Here is a 14,834-nt window from a genome sequence, read left to right as displayed (position 1 = left end):
GATCTTTGCTGTCCACCACAGCTGCCTCCCCACTGGGCACCCTAGAACCACCACCCACAACTCCTTGACTCCAGGAAAAGGCAAAGGGCTCTGAAACATGGGGTAGCCCCACTTAAAGAAAACTCACTCTGCAAAAGCCAAACATTAAAAGAACGAACTATTTACAGTGTGCCAGCAAGAGAATCTGTATGGTAACATTATATATATATATATATATATATATATATATATATATATATATATATATATGAATAAACTACAATAGAATCTGTATGGTAACATTGCATTTATATATATATATATATATATATATATATATATATATGAATAAACTACAACAGAATCTGTATGGTAACATTGTAGTTTTATATACATATCTATGAATAAACCAATCAATCCACACCACTCACTTTGGCTTCATGGGTCACTGACAATGACTCACCTTGCCCCATTAAAACAAAATCCATTCCACTTAAAAGAATGAAGAAGGAGTGATAAAATCAGAACATTGCCACTGTGTAACCCCTAATGAATGGCTGGATCTAGGCACGATCTCTGGCGGCTGATAACATAAGACAGCCAGGCAGACAGGAGCCTCCTGATGGAATAATACAGAACCACCCATGAATTCCTGTCCCCCAAAACTCCCCTAGAAGAAAACAAAAACCAATCCAAACCTGTATCTGATCAAGCTTCAAGATTCACCTAATTTATTGGGACAACAAAGAACAGAGAACAACGTGAATCCTTATCAGACAGGCCCAATCAGCCAAATCTCAATTTACAGAAAGTTCTATAGGAACCGTGACCTGGTTTCCTCAAATAAATAGTGAGAGAAGAATACAGATGGAGAAGGAAACTTACAGATTAAAGGAGACTTAAAAGACTCATCCACCAACTGCCATGTGAGGGCCTTTTCTGGATATTGGATGGAACAAATTGGAAATAAAGGTAATTATATTTGTGAGACAGACATTTGCACACTGACTGACTATTTGATGCTATTGAGGAATCATTAAATTTGATGTTATTAAGGAATGAGTTCAGTGGTGATGTCAATAAAACAGTTCTTATCTTTTAAACTGAGAAATATATTGAAATATTTATGGCTGAGGCTGGGCACGGTGGCTCTCACCTGTAATCCCAGCACTTTGGGAGGCCGAGGTGGGCAGATCACCTGAGGTTGGGGATTCGAGATCAGCCTGACCGACATGGAGAAACCCTGTCTCTACTAAAAATACAAAATTAGCCAGGGGTGGTGGTGCATGCCTGTAATCCCAGCTACTCGAGAGGCTGAGGCCGGAGAATTGCTTGAACTCAGGAGGTGGAGTTTGCGGTGGGCTGAGATCGCACCATTGCACTCCAGCCTGGGCAACAAGAACGAAACTCCATCTCAAAAAAAAAAAAAAAGAAAGAAAGAAAAAAGAAATAGTTATAGCTGAATTGATAGGATGTCTGGTATAGACTTCAAAAATCACATGAAAGGAGGGAAGTGGATGGTGCTATGGATGGGGCCAGCCTGGTGTTGGTGGGGGGTGCTGGGTGCCCGGTATGTGGTGTTCATGGCACTATCCTACTCCACTACTGCATGTGTTCCAAATTCGCTATGATAAAACATTCACAAAGAAAGCAGCTCGTAAAATTCAGTTTGCTCGACCAAATGTGGAGTCAGCCTTCTGCAGCCCCCAGAGCCAGTACATTGGGAATTTTTTGTTGTTTGAGACAAAGTCCGGCCCTGTCACCCAGGCTGGAGCGCAGTGGCACAATCAGCTCACTGCAGTCTCGACCTCCTGGGCTGAAAGGATCCTCCCACCTCAGCTTCCTAAGTTGCTGAGACTACAGGTGTGTACCGCTACACTCAGCTAATTTTATTTATTTTTTTTTGTAGAGACAGGGTCTTGCTATGTTGCCCAGGCTGGTCTAGAACTCCTAGGCTCAAGTGATTCTCCCACCCAGGCCTCCCAAAGTACTGAGATTACAGGCACGTGCCACCACACCTGGCCATTGGTGTTTGTTATTCCTGGTTCTGGCCTGGTCTCCAAGTCTTTCTCTTGGAGAAGAGGTAAGTCTTGTCTACTGGGTCAAAAAGTGAATTTCCTGAAAGCAGAAGCTCTGGCCTCAGGGCCTGGCAATCCTGGAGACTGGAAAAGAATTATAACTGGAGAAGTGAATTCTCTGTTACACAAAACTTCATCTTCGCATCGGATAGCTTACTGGGTAGCTCTTCCTGTTTCCAAAGATTTGATTTGGACTGTAGTAAAAAAAAAATGTTTAAAATGTGGTTTGATTTACAAAAGTCTGGCAACCCCCTACAATTCCATCTACTGCCTGAGCCAGGTGAGCTTGGCTGGCTGATCCATGTAAAGTTCAGGTGCTGTTAATATCCGGTGGCTGCGTGGGAGGGACGTGAATGAGGCCAGGCCCCAAGGGACCTCAAGCAACTCAGAATTCCCGCCACTCCCCATCCCCTTTCTACATTTGTTGTGCCACAAACTGCAGCTCCCAGAGAACTCCGTCCCCAGGACAGTTCATGCCATGGTATGGAATTTCCTCCGTAGATCCGCTCATCTCCACTCCCAGCCCTCCACCCCAACACCTGCCTGTTTGCCTGATCAGGATGGCAGGGCAACTCCCAGAATGTGTTCCTCCCACCAACAGAAATTCACAGGGAGAATTGTCAAGGGCCCTTGGGGCCACCCAGCCATGCAACTGGACACATACACTTTGTAAGCACTGGTTTCCAACAGATAAATGTAATCAAGGTTTATATGCTCAGAGAAGCCAACAGGATGGGATTGTTTCACTTGAAAGATCAGAAGAAAATGTAACTAATGTTGTGGAAAATTACTTTGATATTGCTTTCTTGGTACCGAATCACAATTAGGCTGCCGTGAGAAGTACAGGGAAGGAATAAATGAATAGTAACAAATCAACACAAACAGCCTGTGTCAGAGGCACTTTGCTCAGGGAAAGTAACGTAAGCATTACTTAAAGTTTTATGACTGTGTTTGGTGTGATTTACCCAGACCGTCAAGTCTGCCCATCACCTGGCACGTGGTGAGGGTGGTCTGGCTGCATGGACCATCAGAAGACCCACGTGTGCTCCTTGCCAGGTCTGCCAGCTGCAAAGGGATGATGGCCTCGGCTCCGTGCCATCTGACATCCCCTGCCAGCCTGAGGATCCGATCTTCCCAGAAATCCCAGCCGTCCCCTGGGTCCCCAGCCCACCTGTAATCCACACGTATGTGCACTCGGGAAGCTGGGCAGGGCAACAGGGACCTGCGCAGTGAGCACTCTTGCTGCGGCAGGGCAGGGCACTAGCTGAAGCCACCAAACCACAGTCCCATCCAGGAGTGTCCCACCGATGGGTCCAGGCCCTGGTCCCAGGTGGGCATCACAGGCACACTCATGCCTCCTCTCCCAGGCTCCTCCTGCAGAATGTGGGTACTGGCCGCCTGGACCCTCTGCCTACATGCACCCCCAACCACGCACACACCAAGGACACACCCAGTCAGCGTTTGCTCGCCCTTCTTCCTGACTGTGCTTCTATGCAGATAACACATGACCTTAGGTACCAGCTCGCTGTCTGCCCTGGTGGCGCTGTCCCGAGGGGCCCTGTTCTGCCAATGCAGTGTCATGAGCTGTTCTGGGGCTCATGTGAGGCTGCAAAGCTCCCACAGGAGAGCCGGCTCTGCTGCGCACCTGCTGCTCCAGACGCCTGGGAGCGGCCAGACCCACTTCTGACAGCCACCACCTGTGGGGGCCCGGCACAGGCGTGAGTCAGCACCGATGACTCGCCCACCATCTCCTGGAGGCCACCGCCTTGGCTGCCTCCCTCTGACTCTCAACTCATTCGCCTGCCCATGGGGAGCCTCTGGCAGCTGCCAGACCCAGGGCCCCAGCTCTGGCCTCCTTGTGCTCTTTTCACCTTCCTTCCTGGTGCCCACAGGCCCTCAATCTGCACTAAAGGCCACACATCATGGGTGCTCGTCCATAATGGGGGCGGAGCGGTTGCAGAGTAAGACCCCTTCCTGTGCTCTGGGCTTCCGGCAGGGATTTACGCAGCAACCCCTCTGCCTACACCTCTGGCCCCCTTCTCTTTCATCCTGTCTCTGGATCACAGCACTGAGCAAGCAAGAGAGAGTGAGTGGGTGTCCCTGCAGAGGAGCGGTGTCTCTGGGGGTGCACCAGCTTGTCCATGCCCTAGAGCATGTGGACTGTGAGTGTGTGGCTTCATGGAACTGCCCCTAACAGGGGCCACTGCTGAGACACCTCCCCTCCTCTCCCTCCAAAGCAGAGAGTTCCCAGGCCTTGGCACCCTGCCAGCTGACCTCCTGTCCTTCCATATCTCTGGGGATGGGGACCGTGTCCCGGCAGCAGAAACCTTGCCTGAACTCCCTCTCCACACTCCGTCTGCCCTGAGATGCCAGAATCACCCTTCCTGCTCTGGCCTCCCTGCCATCCCACCTGTTCCCAGCAGCCCTCTGTGACTCCAGTGGGCTACCAGGCAGGGGTGGAATGGAAGTAGCAGTGGGGGACCCTCGGAGGGGGTCTTGGCCTCACTAAACCAGGAGGTACCCTGACCCCCTTTGTCCAGACCAGAGAGGCTAGATTCCCCAGGGCTGGGCAGGGAAACTGAGTCTTGCTTGTGGGGCATGGGCTCAGGGAGAAGTTGTCTACTTTCTGATGTCCCTGACAATGTGGAAGAGGCCTGAGAGGTGGTGGAATCCTGTTTAAATCTGAGTTTCATCAAGGGCAACAACTGGCTCAATAGACAGCAGCCTTGCCATGACTCCCAAAAGGGGCCACCCTGCTGCTAGGCACTGGCTGGAGGTCTTGCATCAGACACAGCACTCCCACATTGAGACTAACGCCTTCCCCGGGAAGCCAGGACTCTGCCTGCCGGGGGTCTTGGCACAGACTTGCCCCTTTCCCCCAAGCCCAGCACACCAGGGCAGCTGTGGAGGCCTGAGCTTCAGGCTGGAAAGCTGGGGGCAGTGATGGCAGGACTCAGCGCAAGGACTCACCTGGCACCTGCTGGGGGGCGAGCTCCGTAGGGTCCTGCAGGCTGATGAAGAGGAGGAGGCCTGCAGCTCCGAACAGCAGGATGGAAGAGAACATGCAGGCCAGCCGCATTGTTCCAGGTCGCAGGGTCATCCGGGGCTGGCTCAGGGGTCACCTCTTGGGTGTGGGGGGCACGTTCTTCCCTCATCGTCCACACCAGGCGTCCATCAGGCCGAGATCTACGGGGCAGAGGAGGGATAGTCATCACCGAGGCGCGAGGCACCCGGGCAGGTGTAGGCCCTGCTCACTGCAGCAATCCAAGTGCAATCCCCGGATGACTCTGCCCTCTACAAGTTACCCAGGGGTGCCCTTTCCATCCTTTCACACCCAGGAGGCTGAGGGAAGCCTGTTCCCACCTGTGGCTGGAATGCTAGCTTTCCACCAGGGTCTCCTGTATCTGCACCTCTGGACAAATCATGGAATGAGACACCCTCTGGCCCTGCCTTGGGGAGCCCAGTTGGGAACCTCCAGGCCCCCAGTCAGTAACCAGCAGCCACCCCCTGCACTGTCCAGGCCTCCAAATAAGCATGCGTGCTCCCAGGGCGGGGGCCTAGGTACTGGCGGGAACCTGGGTCCTTGTCCCTGGTACCCGGCCCGGTGGGCAGAGAAGCTCTTGGATGTGCCTCCACCCTGCTTCTCTCTGTAGGGCACTGGGGACAAGGTCTCCATAGAGCAGGCAGCTCTGAAAAGGAGCCTGCTAGGCTCAAAGGATATTCAAGCACAGACGGACTCTCCTGTGACAGCCAGGGCTGTCCTCACTGATGGACTGACAGATGGGTTGGCGTATGTCAGTCCCTCTGGACAGTCACACCAGAGGGAGCTGAGGCTCTGGCCAGACCACTGGAGTCCCTGTGCTCGAGGCCCTTTGCCTGGAGTGGAGGTGGGGCAGCTAGACCTGTGTCCAACAGACTCCAAGCTCAGAGGCGCAGAGGCTGGGTACTAACACCCCCTCGTGTTCCTGGGGGTGGGCACTAACTGCTCCAGCCACTGCAGACCCAGAGTATACCCATGTGACTCACCCCTTACCCCGCTTCCTCCTAGAGGGCAGGGAGAGAAATTCCCCATCCCCCACATACCAGCCAGTCACGCCAACAGGGCCAGGCTGTGCATGGAGATGGGGGCACCCCAAGGCCATTTGCCCAAAGGAAGAATATAAGTTCCTGCAGTGGTGTGTAGAGAGGGCATGGGCAGAGTACAGGGGGAGAGAGCCACAGGCGGCAGGCACTCTAGGGACCCCCCAACCCCGCTTTGAAGGTCAGTCACTCTGTCCCCTTACTTTCCAGCGGGCCTTGCTGGCTAGGCCGAGAGGATCACCCTTTTTCCACCCAAGAGCGCTGGAGGGAACATCCCCACCCTGGCACAGGTCAGTGCCTGAGGGAGGTGAGGCCAGGTAGGCAGCTCCCAGTAGCCTCTGAGGCCACAGCTGGGTGGCTGTTTAAGCCCCAGGTCAAATATGCTGCTCGGCCCAAGGACATCTCCCTGCCCAGGGACAATACTTCAGCCGGGTGACTCCTCCCCAACACGGACCCAGGCACTGGGGAAAGAAGCCCCCACACCCAGTCCATGGAGCATGAGAGATGGGAAGAGGCACTCTCCCTGCTCCCCTGCCCACGACTCCCCACGACCAGATGGTTCTGAAAAGCTCAAGGGCTAGGGAGGGTAAATTGCAGGTTTGGGTTTCTCCCCTCTGCAGTTTCTATAATTATTTTTTCACTCAGTTAACTTTAATTAACCCGCCCCAGGCCTCTCCGCACCGGGAAGGCACCTGACGCTGGGCTATCTGGACTGTGCCGAGCAGTTGGTTCCTGCGGCCTTCCAGCTTTTTACAGAATCACTGAGCTGGGCCTGTTTTGTCTCTGGAGCTGGCTCCGGGGTGTCAGGCTGGCTCCGACCTCACTGCAATGGCCTCTGCCCTAAAGACAAACTGCTGCTTCCTGTCATCCACCGAGGCCACCCCTGCCTTGCCTGCAAAGAGTAGAAATGGACACTCATGTGTCCCCAAGGGCTCAGACTCAAAGCCCCTTGTGCGGGGCTGGGGCCTCTCTCTCCATGGCTGCCCTGGATGAGGCCATCCTGAGGACCTGGGGTTCACTGCCTTGCAAAGACACAGATGCAGCACTGTAAGCCCCACAGCAGGCTGCGATGCCCTACCGTCCCCCAAGCCCTTCCCTCTGTGAGGACAGCACTGCACTGCAGAGTCCCAGCCCCACCGGGGCCAGCCCCAAAGCCTCAGGAGAGAGTGAGCAGCTGACAAGGCAGGCAAAGCTGTTCTCTCCAGCCTCACTCGGGGGAGCCCCAGGCAGTCATAGAAAGGAGTTAGAAGAATGGAAAAGATGTCACGCACCGACACAGGGGGGCCATGGCTCTCAGATGGGGACCAGGAAGAACCTGCAAGGTCTCTCGGGAGCAGCTGCTATTGCACGGTCATGGGGACGGTGTTCACATGTGCACCGCACCCACGGACCTAAGCAGACGCGGGTTCAATAACACACATATGCATACATGCCCGGGTGCATGCCGGCCAGTGCCTGCACACATACCATCGATGGTCCCCAGCAAGGCCCCAGCTGGAAAGCAACTGTCGCGAGCCCCTGAGTAAGCTGGCCACGGTGTGGGTGCGCTTCCTGCAGCCTCCTGAGTCAGACACCGGGAAGCCAGTTTGACCTAGGGTAGCCTCCAACATCAAGACATTTTGGAAGGAGGGAGAGAGGAAGGAGAACAGCTTCATGGCTAGCGCCCAGAACTGCCTGGTAAAACAGCTAATAATGGGTCCCTCAATATCAGGCTCTACCTGATGAACAAAGGGGACTCGGGAGCATGTGTGATCATCATCTCATTTGTTCAGTAGCTGGCGCTGCAGAGTGGTTACAAGAGAGCTGGCCGGTCCTCTCTTCTCCCCAGTCTGTCTCCATTCGAGCCAGTACCGACATCCACTGTCAAGGACTAAATGGGTCTGCAGCGAAGACCTGTCCTCACTTGTTTCTGAACCGCCCCAAACCAAACCCACCCCATGATGCCTGGCTCCAGCCACCCATGTGCCTGGGAGCCAGGGCAAGGACCAGATCCATGCCCCCAAATCCAGGAAGGGGAAGAAGACACAGACCCAGGACCACACCTCCATGGTGGTGGAGCTTCATCTGTTCACGTTTCCCCTTTCAAAGACCCTGCCTTTGCTGGCCCCCGAGAGAACACGAACACCCTCTCTCTATACCCAGGGAAGCTGGCATTGGAGCCGTCTGTGGCTTCAGGGTTTAGCCCCTAAGCCTCAGACCCCAGCTTTTCCCTCTGGGACCCTCAGCTCTGTGTTTGTTCTCACTGGGGACCATCTGACCAGCTAACTCCCTGCTCCGTGCAAACAGGAATCAAAAGGTCAGCGTGCCTCCCCTCCTGGGTAACTGGCCAGCAGTATGGCTGGCCAACTGGACTCTATAGAACACTCCTTTCCCCTAAGGTGTGGGAAGGGAGGGTGGTCACCGACAGATCCCCGGGCATTCCAGGGGGTGTAGAATCCTCTATTGTTCCTCGGAGGACCCCAGGCTTCCAAGTCGCACGTTGTTTTCAAGGCAACAGGAGCTGCTGGTCTAAGAGCTGTCTGTCTCCCTCTCCTGGGAGTCCAGCTGCTGCCTGGGGAGTGGACACCACCATCTGTCACAGGCTGGGGCCTGGAAGGCTGGGGGATGAGGCATAAACACAGTCACAGGCCTCAGCCTCCACCTGGGACTGTCCCATCCTCATCACAGACTATATCACTCTCAGCTCCGATGACAAGGGCAAAACCTGCCTTCACCTGCTTACACCCATCCCAAGACCAACAGACAATAAGAAAATCCAGCCTTCCAGGGGCAGAGAAGAGGGAGGGTTCAGGCAAGAAAAATAAACAGCCCCAGCGAGTTTCCAGCAGCTCCTGCCTGGCCTCACAATTCCTAGTCCTCCTGGTGGCTTTTCTCCCCCAGGCCTGAATGGCGTCACCAATTTTTACTTTAAGAAAAAAAAAAAAAAAGATCCAATTAATCTTATAAACCCCTCCTGGGACACAGGGCAGGGCGAAGGATTCCTCCCATTTCCTTATTTATTTGATTTAAAAATGTGTCTCTTTGAAGAAATTCACTTCAGGGCACAAGCAAGGACTTGGGAATTCAGCCAAAACACACGCACCTCCAGTGGCGACCGGCAGCAGGCGGACAGACGCATGGACGGCTCCAAGGACACGCTTGGCTGCAGCTGCTTCTGGGCCTGGACGCTCCCCTCAGCTGCCCAGAGGATTCCCTGTGGCCGTGGGGACCTGTCCCTGTGCCTGGCTCCAGGCAGCATGGGTGCACCCACGTGGTCAGCGGACCCCGGGCTCGGGAAAGTTCTCTGTCCGGTGGGTCTCCTTGCACCACACGGGCAGGAGAGAACAATGACGTCCCTCCCGGCTGAGGGCTCCCGGAGAAGCTGCTTGTTGGGAGAGAGGCTGCTATGGCAACTTGAGGAGAATGGAGCCAGGCACTGCCGTCACCTTGAATCCGGCACCGTGCCTTCTGCCGCGGTGGCAGCAGCGGGGACTCTGCACCGGGCGCTGGTCTCTGAGCCCTGGCTTCCCTCCTCAGCCTCCTGGCCTCGGGAACTCATCTGCTCGTCGCCGATCGATCGGTGGGAGCCTACAGCCCAGTCCCCCGAGAGCACCACCTCCTTCTGTTTTGTCAGACTAGTTCTTCCCTGCGCGCGGCTCTCGCTTACTTCTGAGATGGGGCTCTTCTTGATTTCAGCTCATTAAAAATCCTGCAGCTAATTAAAACCGCTCTAATGGCAGCGGCGGCGGCGGCAGCAAACTCTGGGACGAGTCCCTCCAGTTTTTATGCGTAGGCATAAAGTTGCAATGCTCTGCAAGGTTGACGGATGGGCGCGAGTGCTCAGACTCCAAGGCGGGGCTGCCGACTCTCAGGCTGCCTCCTGCCCTGCTGCTGGGGAGCGCTGGCCTGGGTCCTGAAATCCCCAGAGCCGGGCCTTGGCACACCCAGGCCCCTGCCGGGCGGCACGCTACTCCCGGGGAAGGCAATTTACCTGCTGTCCGCTGCCCTGTTACAAGGCAGGGTTCTCTCCACTCCCCCCCAGCCCCATGCTCTGCAGCGGGGAGAAAGGGCGTTCCGAGGTGGAGATTACCGGGTGAATCAGGCTCACAAGGTCCTAAAGCTTGCCACCATAGCCCTACTAGGAGCACCACAGCCCGGCCTCCCACCATCACGGACACATTCCAGTTGGAGTCTGAGGGGCGCCTGCAAACACACAGCCACAGCGAGGGGGGCCTGAGAGCGTGGCCAAAGACTGACAGGCCACGTCAACTGACCACACCCTGGACACTATCTCTGCCCAGGGCTTCTTACATGTTGAGGACATTTTATGCCAGTGGGGCAGGGCAGGGGACAGTCATTCTGCATGTAAAGAAACTGAGTCCCCTGCTCCTCCTCATCCTGGCAGAGTCTAGAATGCTGACTCAGTGCCCCGAATTCCCTGAATGTGTGAACCTTGGTTCCCTGAGAGCACCATCGCGGTGACAGCCCTTCCCTCACTGTGGGAAAAGCATTTGCCACCTGCCTCTGAATCGGGAATCGCATCGAGGCCTCTCCCCATCTTTGTATTCCCAGCACCTAGCACAGTCCCCGGCACAGGGAAGGTGATCAATAGCCTCTGCTGCACGTTGAATGAGCACGAGTTAATAGATGGAAGTGTTTGGGGCCATCTGGAGAGAGGCACTCCATGAACCTGGAATTTTAAAAAGGTCATCTATGTTTCAGGGAGCTGAGGGTTTGTTTTCCTCAGAGCTGCCTTGGAATCAGGTCCAAAGAGTAGCCCAATCCTATGACAGGAGGCAAGGAAGAAGCAAGGAAGAAACGGCCCCCAGGGAGCCCAGTGGAGCCTTAAAGCTTGAAATACCCGAGGCCCGCTCGCCACCAGGACCTCACTTTTGCCTCCTCATGTCAGTATGACAGATTTCAGATCACAGAGCTTGAAGACAAATACACTTTTAAAGACAAATGTTGATTCTCCCTCTACATATACATACACATTAACAGGTGCAATGTTTACACAAAAGACACACACCATTGAGATGCCACAAAATTGACTGATTGTCCCCTGACATGGTTTGGATATGTGTCCCCTCCAAATCTCATGGTGAAATGTGATTTCCAGTGTTGGAGGTGGGGTCTGGTTGGAGGGGACTGAATCACAGGGTGGATCCCTCATGAATGGCATGGTGCCATCCCCTTGGTGATGAGTTGGTTCTCATTCAGTTCATGTGAAATCTGACTGTTTAAAAGAGTCTAGGACCTCCCCACTCATCTCTCTCTCACTGTTTCTCTTGCCATGTGACCGGCCTCCTCCCACTTTGCCTTCTGCCATGATTGTGAGCTTCCTGAAGCCCTCCCCAGAAGCCGAGCAGATGCCAACACCATGCTTCCTGTACAGCCTGCAGAACCACAAGCGAATTAAACCTCTTTTCCTTATAAATTACTCAACCTCAAGTATTTCTTTACAGCAACACAAAAGTGGACTAATGCATCCCCAAACCTTTAAAATATATTGTGATGCTAGGAACCCCCCCAAAAAATTACAGCTTGCATGTGTCAATCAAAAAGTCAATGATAGCAACACATGCTACAACATGGGTGACTCTTGAAGCCATCATGTTAAGTGAAGCAAGCCAGACACAAACGGACAAATACTGTATAATTCCACTTGTGTGAAGTACCAGGAGTAGTCCAATTCATAGAGACAGAAAGTAGAATGCAGGTTACCAGGGACTGGAAGGAGGAACAGGGAGTTGTTTAATGGGTACAGAGTCTCTGTTTGGGATGATGAAAAGGTTCTGGAGATGGATAGTGGTGATGGTTGCCCAACAATGTGAATGTAATTAATGCCACTGGACTGTACACTTAAAAATGATTATGAACTGGGTGCATCACTAGAGGTCAGGAGTTTGAGACTAGTCTGACCAACGTGGTGAAACCCCATTTCTACTAAAATTACAAAAATTAGCTGCATGTGGTAGTGCATGCCTGTTTTCCAGGCAGGAGAATCGCTTGAACCTGGGAGGCAGAGGTTGCAGTGAGCCGAGATCACGCCACTGCACTCCAGTCAGGGCAACAGAGCGAGACTCTGTCTCAAAAAAAAAAAAAAAAAAAAAAACAACAACAAAAACCACAACACACACACACACACACCAGGCACGGTGGCTCACGCCTATAATCCCAGCACTTTTGGGAGGCCAAGGCGGGTGGATCACCTGAGGTCAGGAGTTCAAGACAAGCCTGGCCAACACAGTGAAACCCGTCTCTACTAAAAATACAAAAATTAGCCAGGCATGGTGGCAGCCACCTGTAATCCCAGCTACTCGGGAGGCTGAGGCAGGAGAATGGGAGGTGGAGATTGCAGTGAGGCGAGGTCATGACATTGCACTCCAGCCTGGGTGACAAGAGCGAAACTCCGTTAAAAAAAAAAAAAAAGCAAAACCCAAAACCCTCAGTGGAAGCAGCTTGAACAAGGCATCTGGATGTCACAGGGTAGCCATCAGGCTCAGAGCAGGGCACCCCAGGTTCTCTGGCCTGACTTCCCCTCCACTTAAGTCTGATCTTCAGGACTTGAGTTTCCCTATCTCAGAATCAGTCCTCATCCAAAATACCTGCTGTAGATGAGTTCCCAAGTTCCCTGCAGCTCTGGTGTGAGACAAATGTCTTGAAACAGGGAGGCACCTTGTGAATTTCATTTGCATAGGGTTACTTTCAAGCATGCCAGGTAGGCTTCAGTCAAGGGCACCCCTCACCCACACCTGCCGCCTGTCCCTCACCAGGGAACTGGGTTGGTCCCATGACATGTCCTCAGGGAGGCTGCCAGGGCTGTGCCCCAGAGTTCTACACTCTAGGAAGGAACAGTTATCCCTGTTCCTGGGATAACTGGGCCCCTGTGGCCCACATGAGCCCAGCCAAGCTGTTTCCCTTCTTGACAACCCTGTCCTTGTTTGAGGGATCAAAGGCCACACTGCAAGTGTCAAACTGAAAACTGTTCTCAGGTTCTTTCTGATGTGCAAAGCTGTGCTCCCCTGAGGCCTCCCTGGCTGAGGTGAGTTCCACCTGGGCTACTCCTGACCTAGGGGACCATTCCTCTGTGTGAACTCCACTGAGCCCAGCTGGGACAGTGCCTCATTTAGTGATAGCTATCGTTTCAAGGCAGAAATCTAACAGGGTCCTTTTTCCTTCAAAAATCTTTAATTTTTAAAGATCTGAAGAAAGCAACACGAGGATCCTTGTGGGGAAGGAAATGTTCTCTATCTCGACCGTATCAATGTCAATATCCTGGTTTTAATACTGTTCTACGGTTTTGCAAACCGTTACAATTGGGGAAAGTGTGTAAGGGATATATGGGATTTCTCTGCATTATTTCTTACAACTGTATATGAATATATTATTATCTCAAAATTAAAAATTTAATTAAAGAAATCAAAACTTACAAATAAAAGTGACTGGCCTTTCAGCTCATGCAGAATGGAAGCCAATTCTAATGTTGTGCACGTAAATAAGAGATAGTCATTTCCATGGATCAGCTCCAGCCCCTGTTGTATAAGAAACATTTTAAAGTTAAGGGACTGTGCCTTTAATAGGAAAATTTGATGTGTTAGCAACTACTGGTTGATCTTTGTGCACTTTTCAATTGCAAATTGCACTTTAAAAATGCAAACAATTATTAATATCGATTTGGACTAAAACAATATTGAATTTCAACATATTTCCAGCTCTTTTATGAATTACCCTGTGGATACGTGGTGATTATGATAAAAGAGTATTTGCATGCTCAATTTCTTTTCAGTGAGGAACCTTGAAGAGGGCTGACGTGATCCATGGATAATGAACTTGACAGGGACAAGAATTGGCTCTGAAGCCATCAGCCAGGATCTCAGATTTAGCCGCAGCACAGATTTTCAGGGCCACTTGCCTTGCTGGGCTTTTTCCAAACCAATATTACAGAGCACAGGTTAGGAACACCTGCTCGAGGCCCAGAATGGGATTTTGAGTCACAGTTGTGAGGGAAAGAAAAGAAAAAGGAACAGGTATTTATCATTATTTGTTAACGTTCCAGGCACAATGTTGGATACTACATAAACATCCCATTTAGCTTTCACACAATAACCTTTTGAAGTAAAAATCATTATCCCTATTTGCCACAGGTTTGGTTCTCTGTAAGGAGATACCGAGATGGAGTTTGGGGTGCACAATGTTTATTAAGGATCAATACCTGCAAAGGGAAAAGGGAGGAAGCTGGAGTGGGAAGAAGTGGAATAGGGATGTAGGCCTTGATGGTGGGCTCCGGAGTGGATTCAGCCTGTCGGAGTGTCCTGCAGAAGGAAGATAGGGCTGGACCCTTACACCTCCCCCTTACTCAGTAGCTGGATGTGGGTTGCCCAGAGAAGGGCGTGATCTCAGATGAGGCAGCCCCTCGTGGAGTTGAGGACTAGAGGCTGGCTGCTGATCACACAGTCCCCAGGTGGTCAGCAAATCCTTCTTGGAAGGAAGATCTGGGCAGCAGATCTCCAAGCCCACCACTCTGTTTTGCAGATGATGAAATGAAGACCCAGAGAGACTAAATATGGCCAAGGTTACACACAAGAAATAAGCGCCACCCCAGATCTGACTCAAATCCTCTCTCTCTCCACCCCAGCCATGCTTTTCCAAAACAAAAGCTTAGATCAGACTGTCCTGACCTTCAGTTACTGAGACACGAAGGTCTGACAGTCTCCA

The 14,834-nt window shown here is 52.4% G+C and overlaps 1 protein-coding gene across 6 annotated transcripts in view; it reads right to left on the bottom strand.

The window, feature by feature from the left end:
* The window catches only part of CHST8 (carbohydrate sulfotransferase 8), a 151,557-nt gene that overhangs the window by 79,091 nt on the left and 57,632 nt on the right, over positions 1–14,834 (bottom strand). For 2 of the 6 annotated variants that reach the window (NM_001127895.2, NM_001127896.2), the window contains one exon: positions 5,028–5,243. In NM_001127895.2, the coding sequence (NP_001121367.1) occupies positions 5,028–5,157 (130 nt within the window). In that variant the 5' untranslated portion in view covers positions 5,158–5,243. Of the gene's footprint in view, positions 1–5,027; positions 5,244–6,818; positions 7,142–7,604; positions 7,739–7,855; positions 8,509–9,219; positions 9,892–14,834 lie in introns of those variants that run through there. The other 4 variants (XM_011527224.1, NM_022467.3, XM_011527222.1 and 1 more) reach the window with 4 other exon arrangements.

This window comes from Homo sapiens, chromosome 19, assembly GCF_000001405.40.
Source record: "Homo sapiens chromosome 19, GRCh38.p14 Primary Assembly".
NCBI lineage: Eukaryota > Metazoa > Chordata > Mammalia > Primates > Hominidae > Homo > Homo sapiens.
This window is presented reverse-complemented; position numbering and strand designations above follow the sequence as displayed.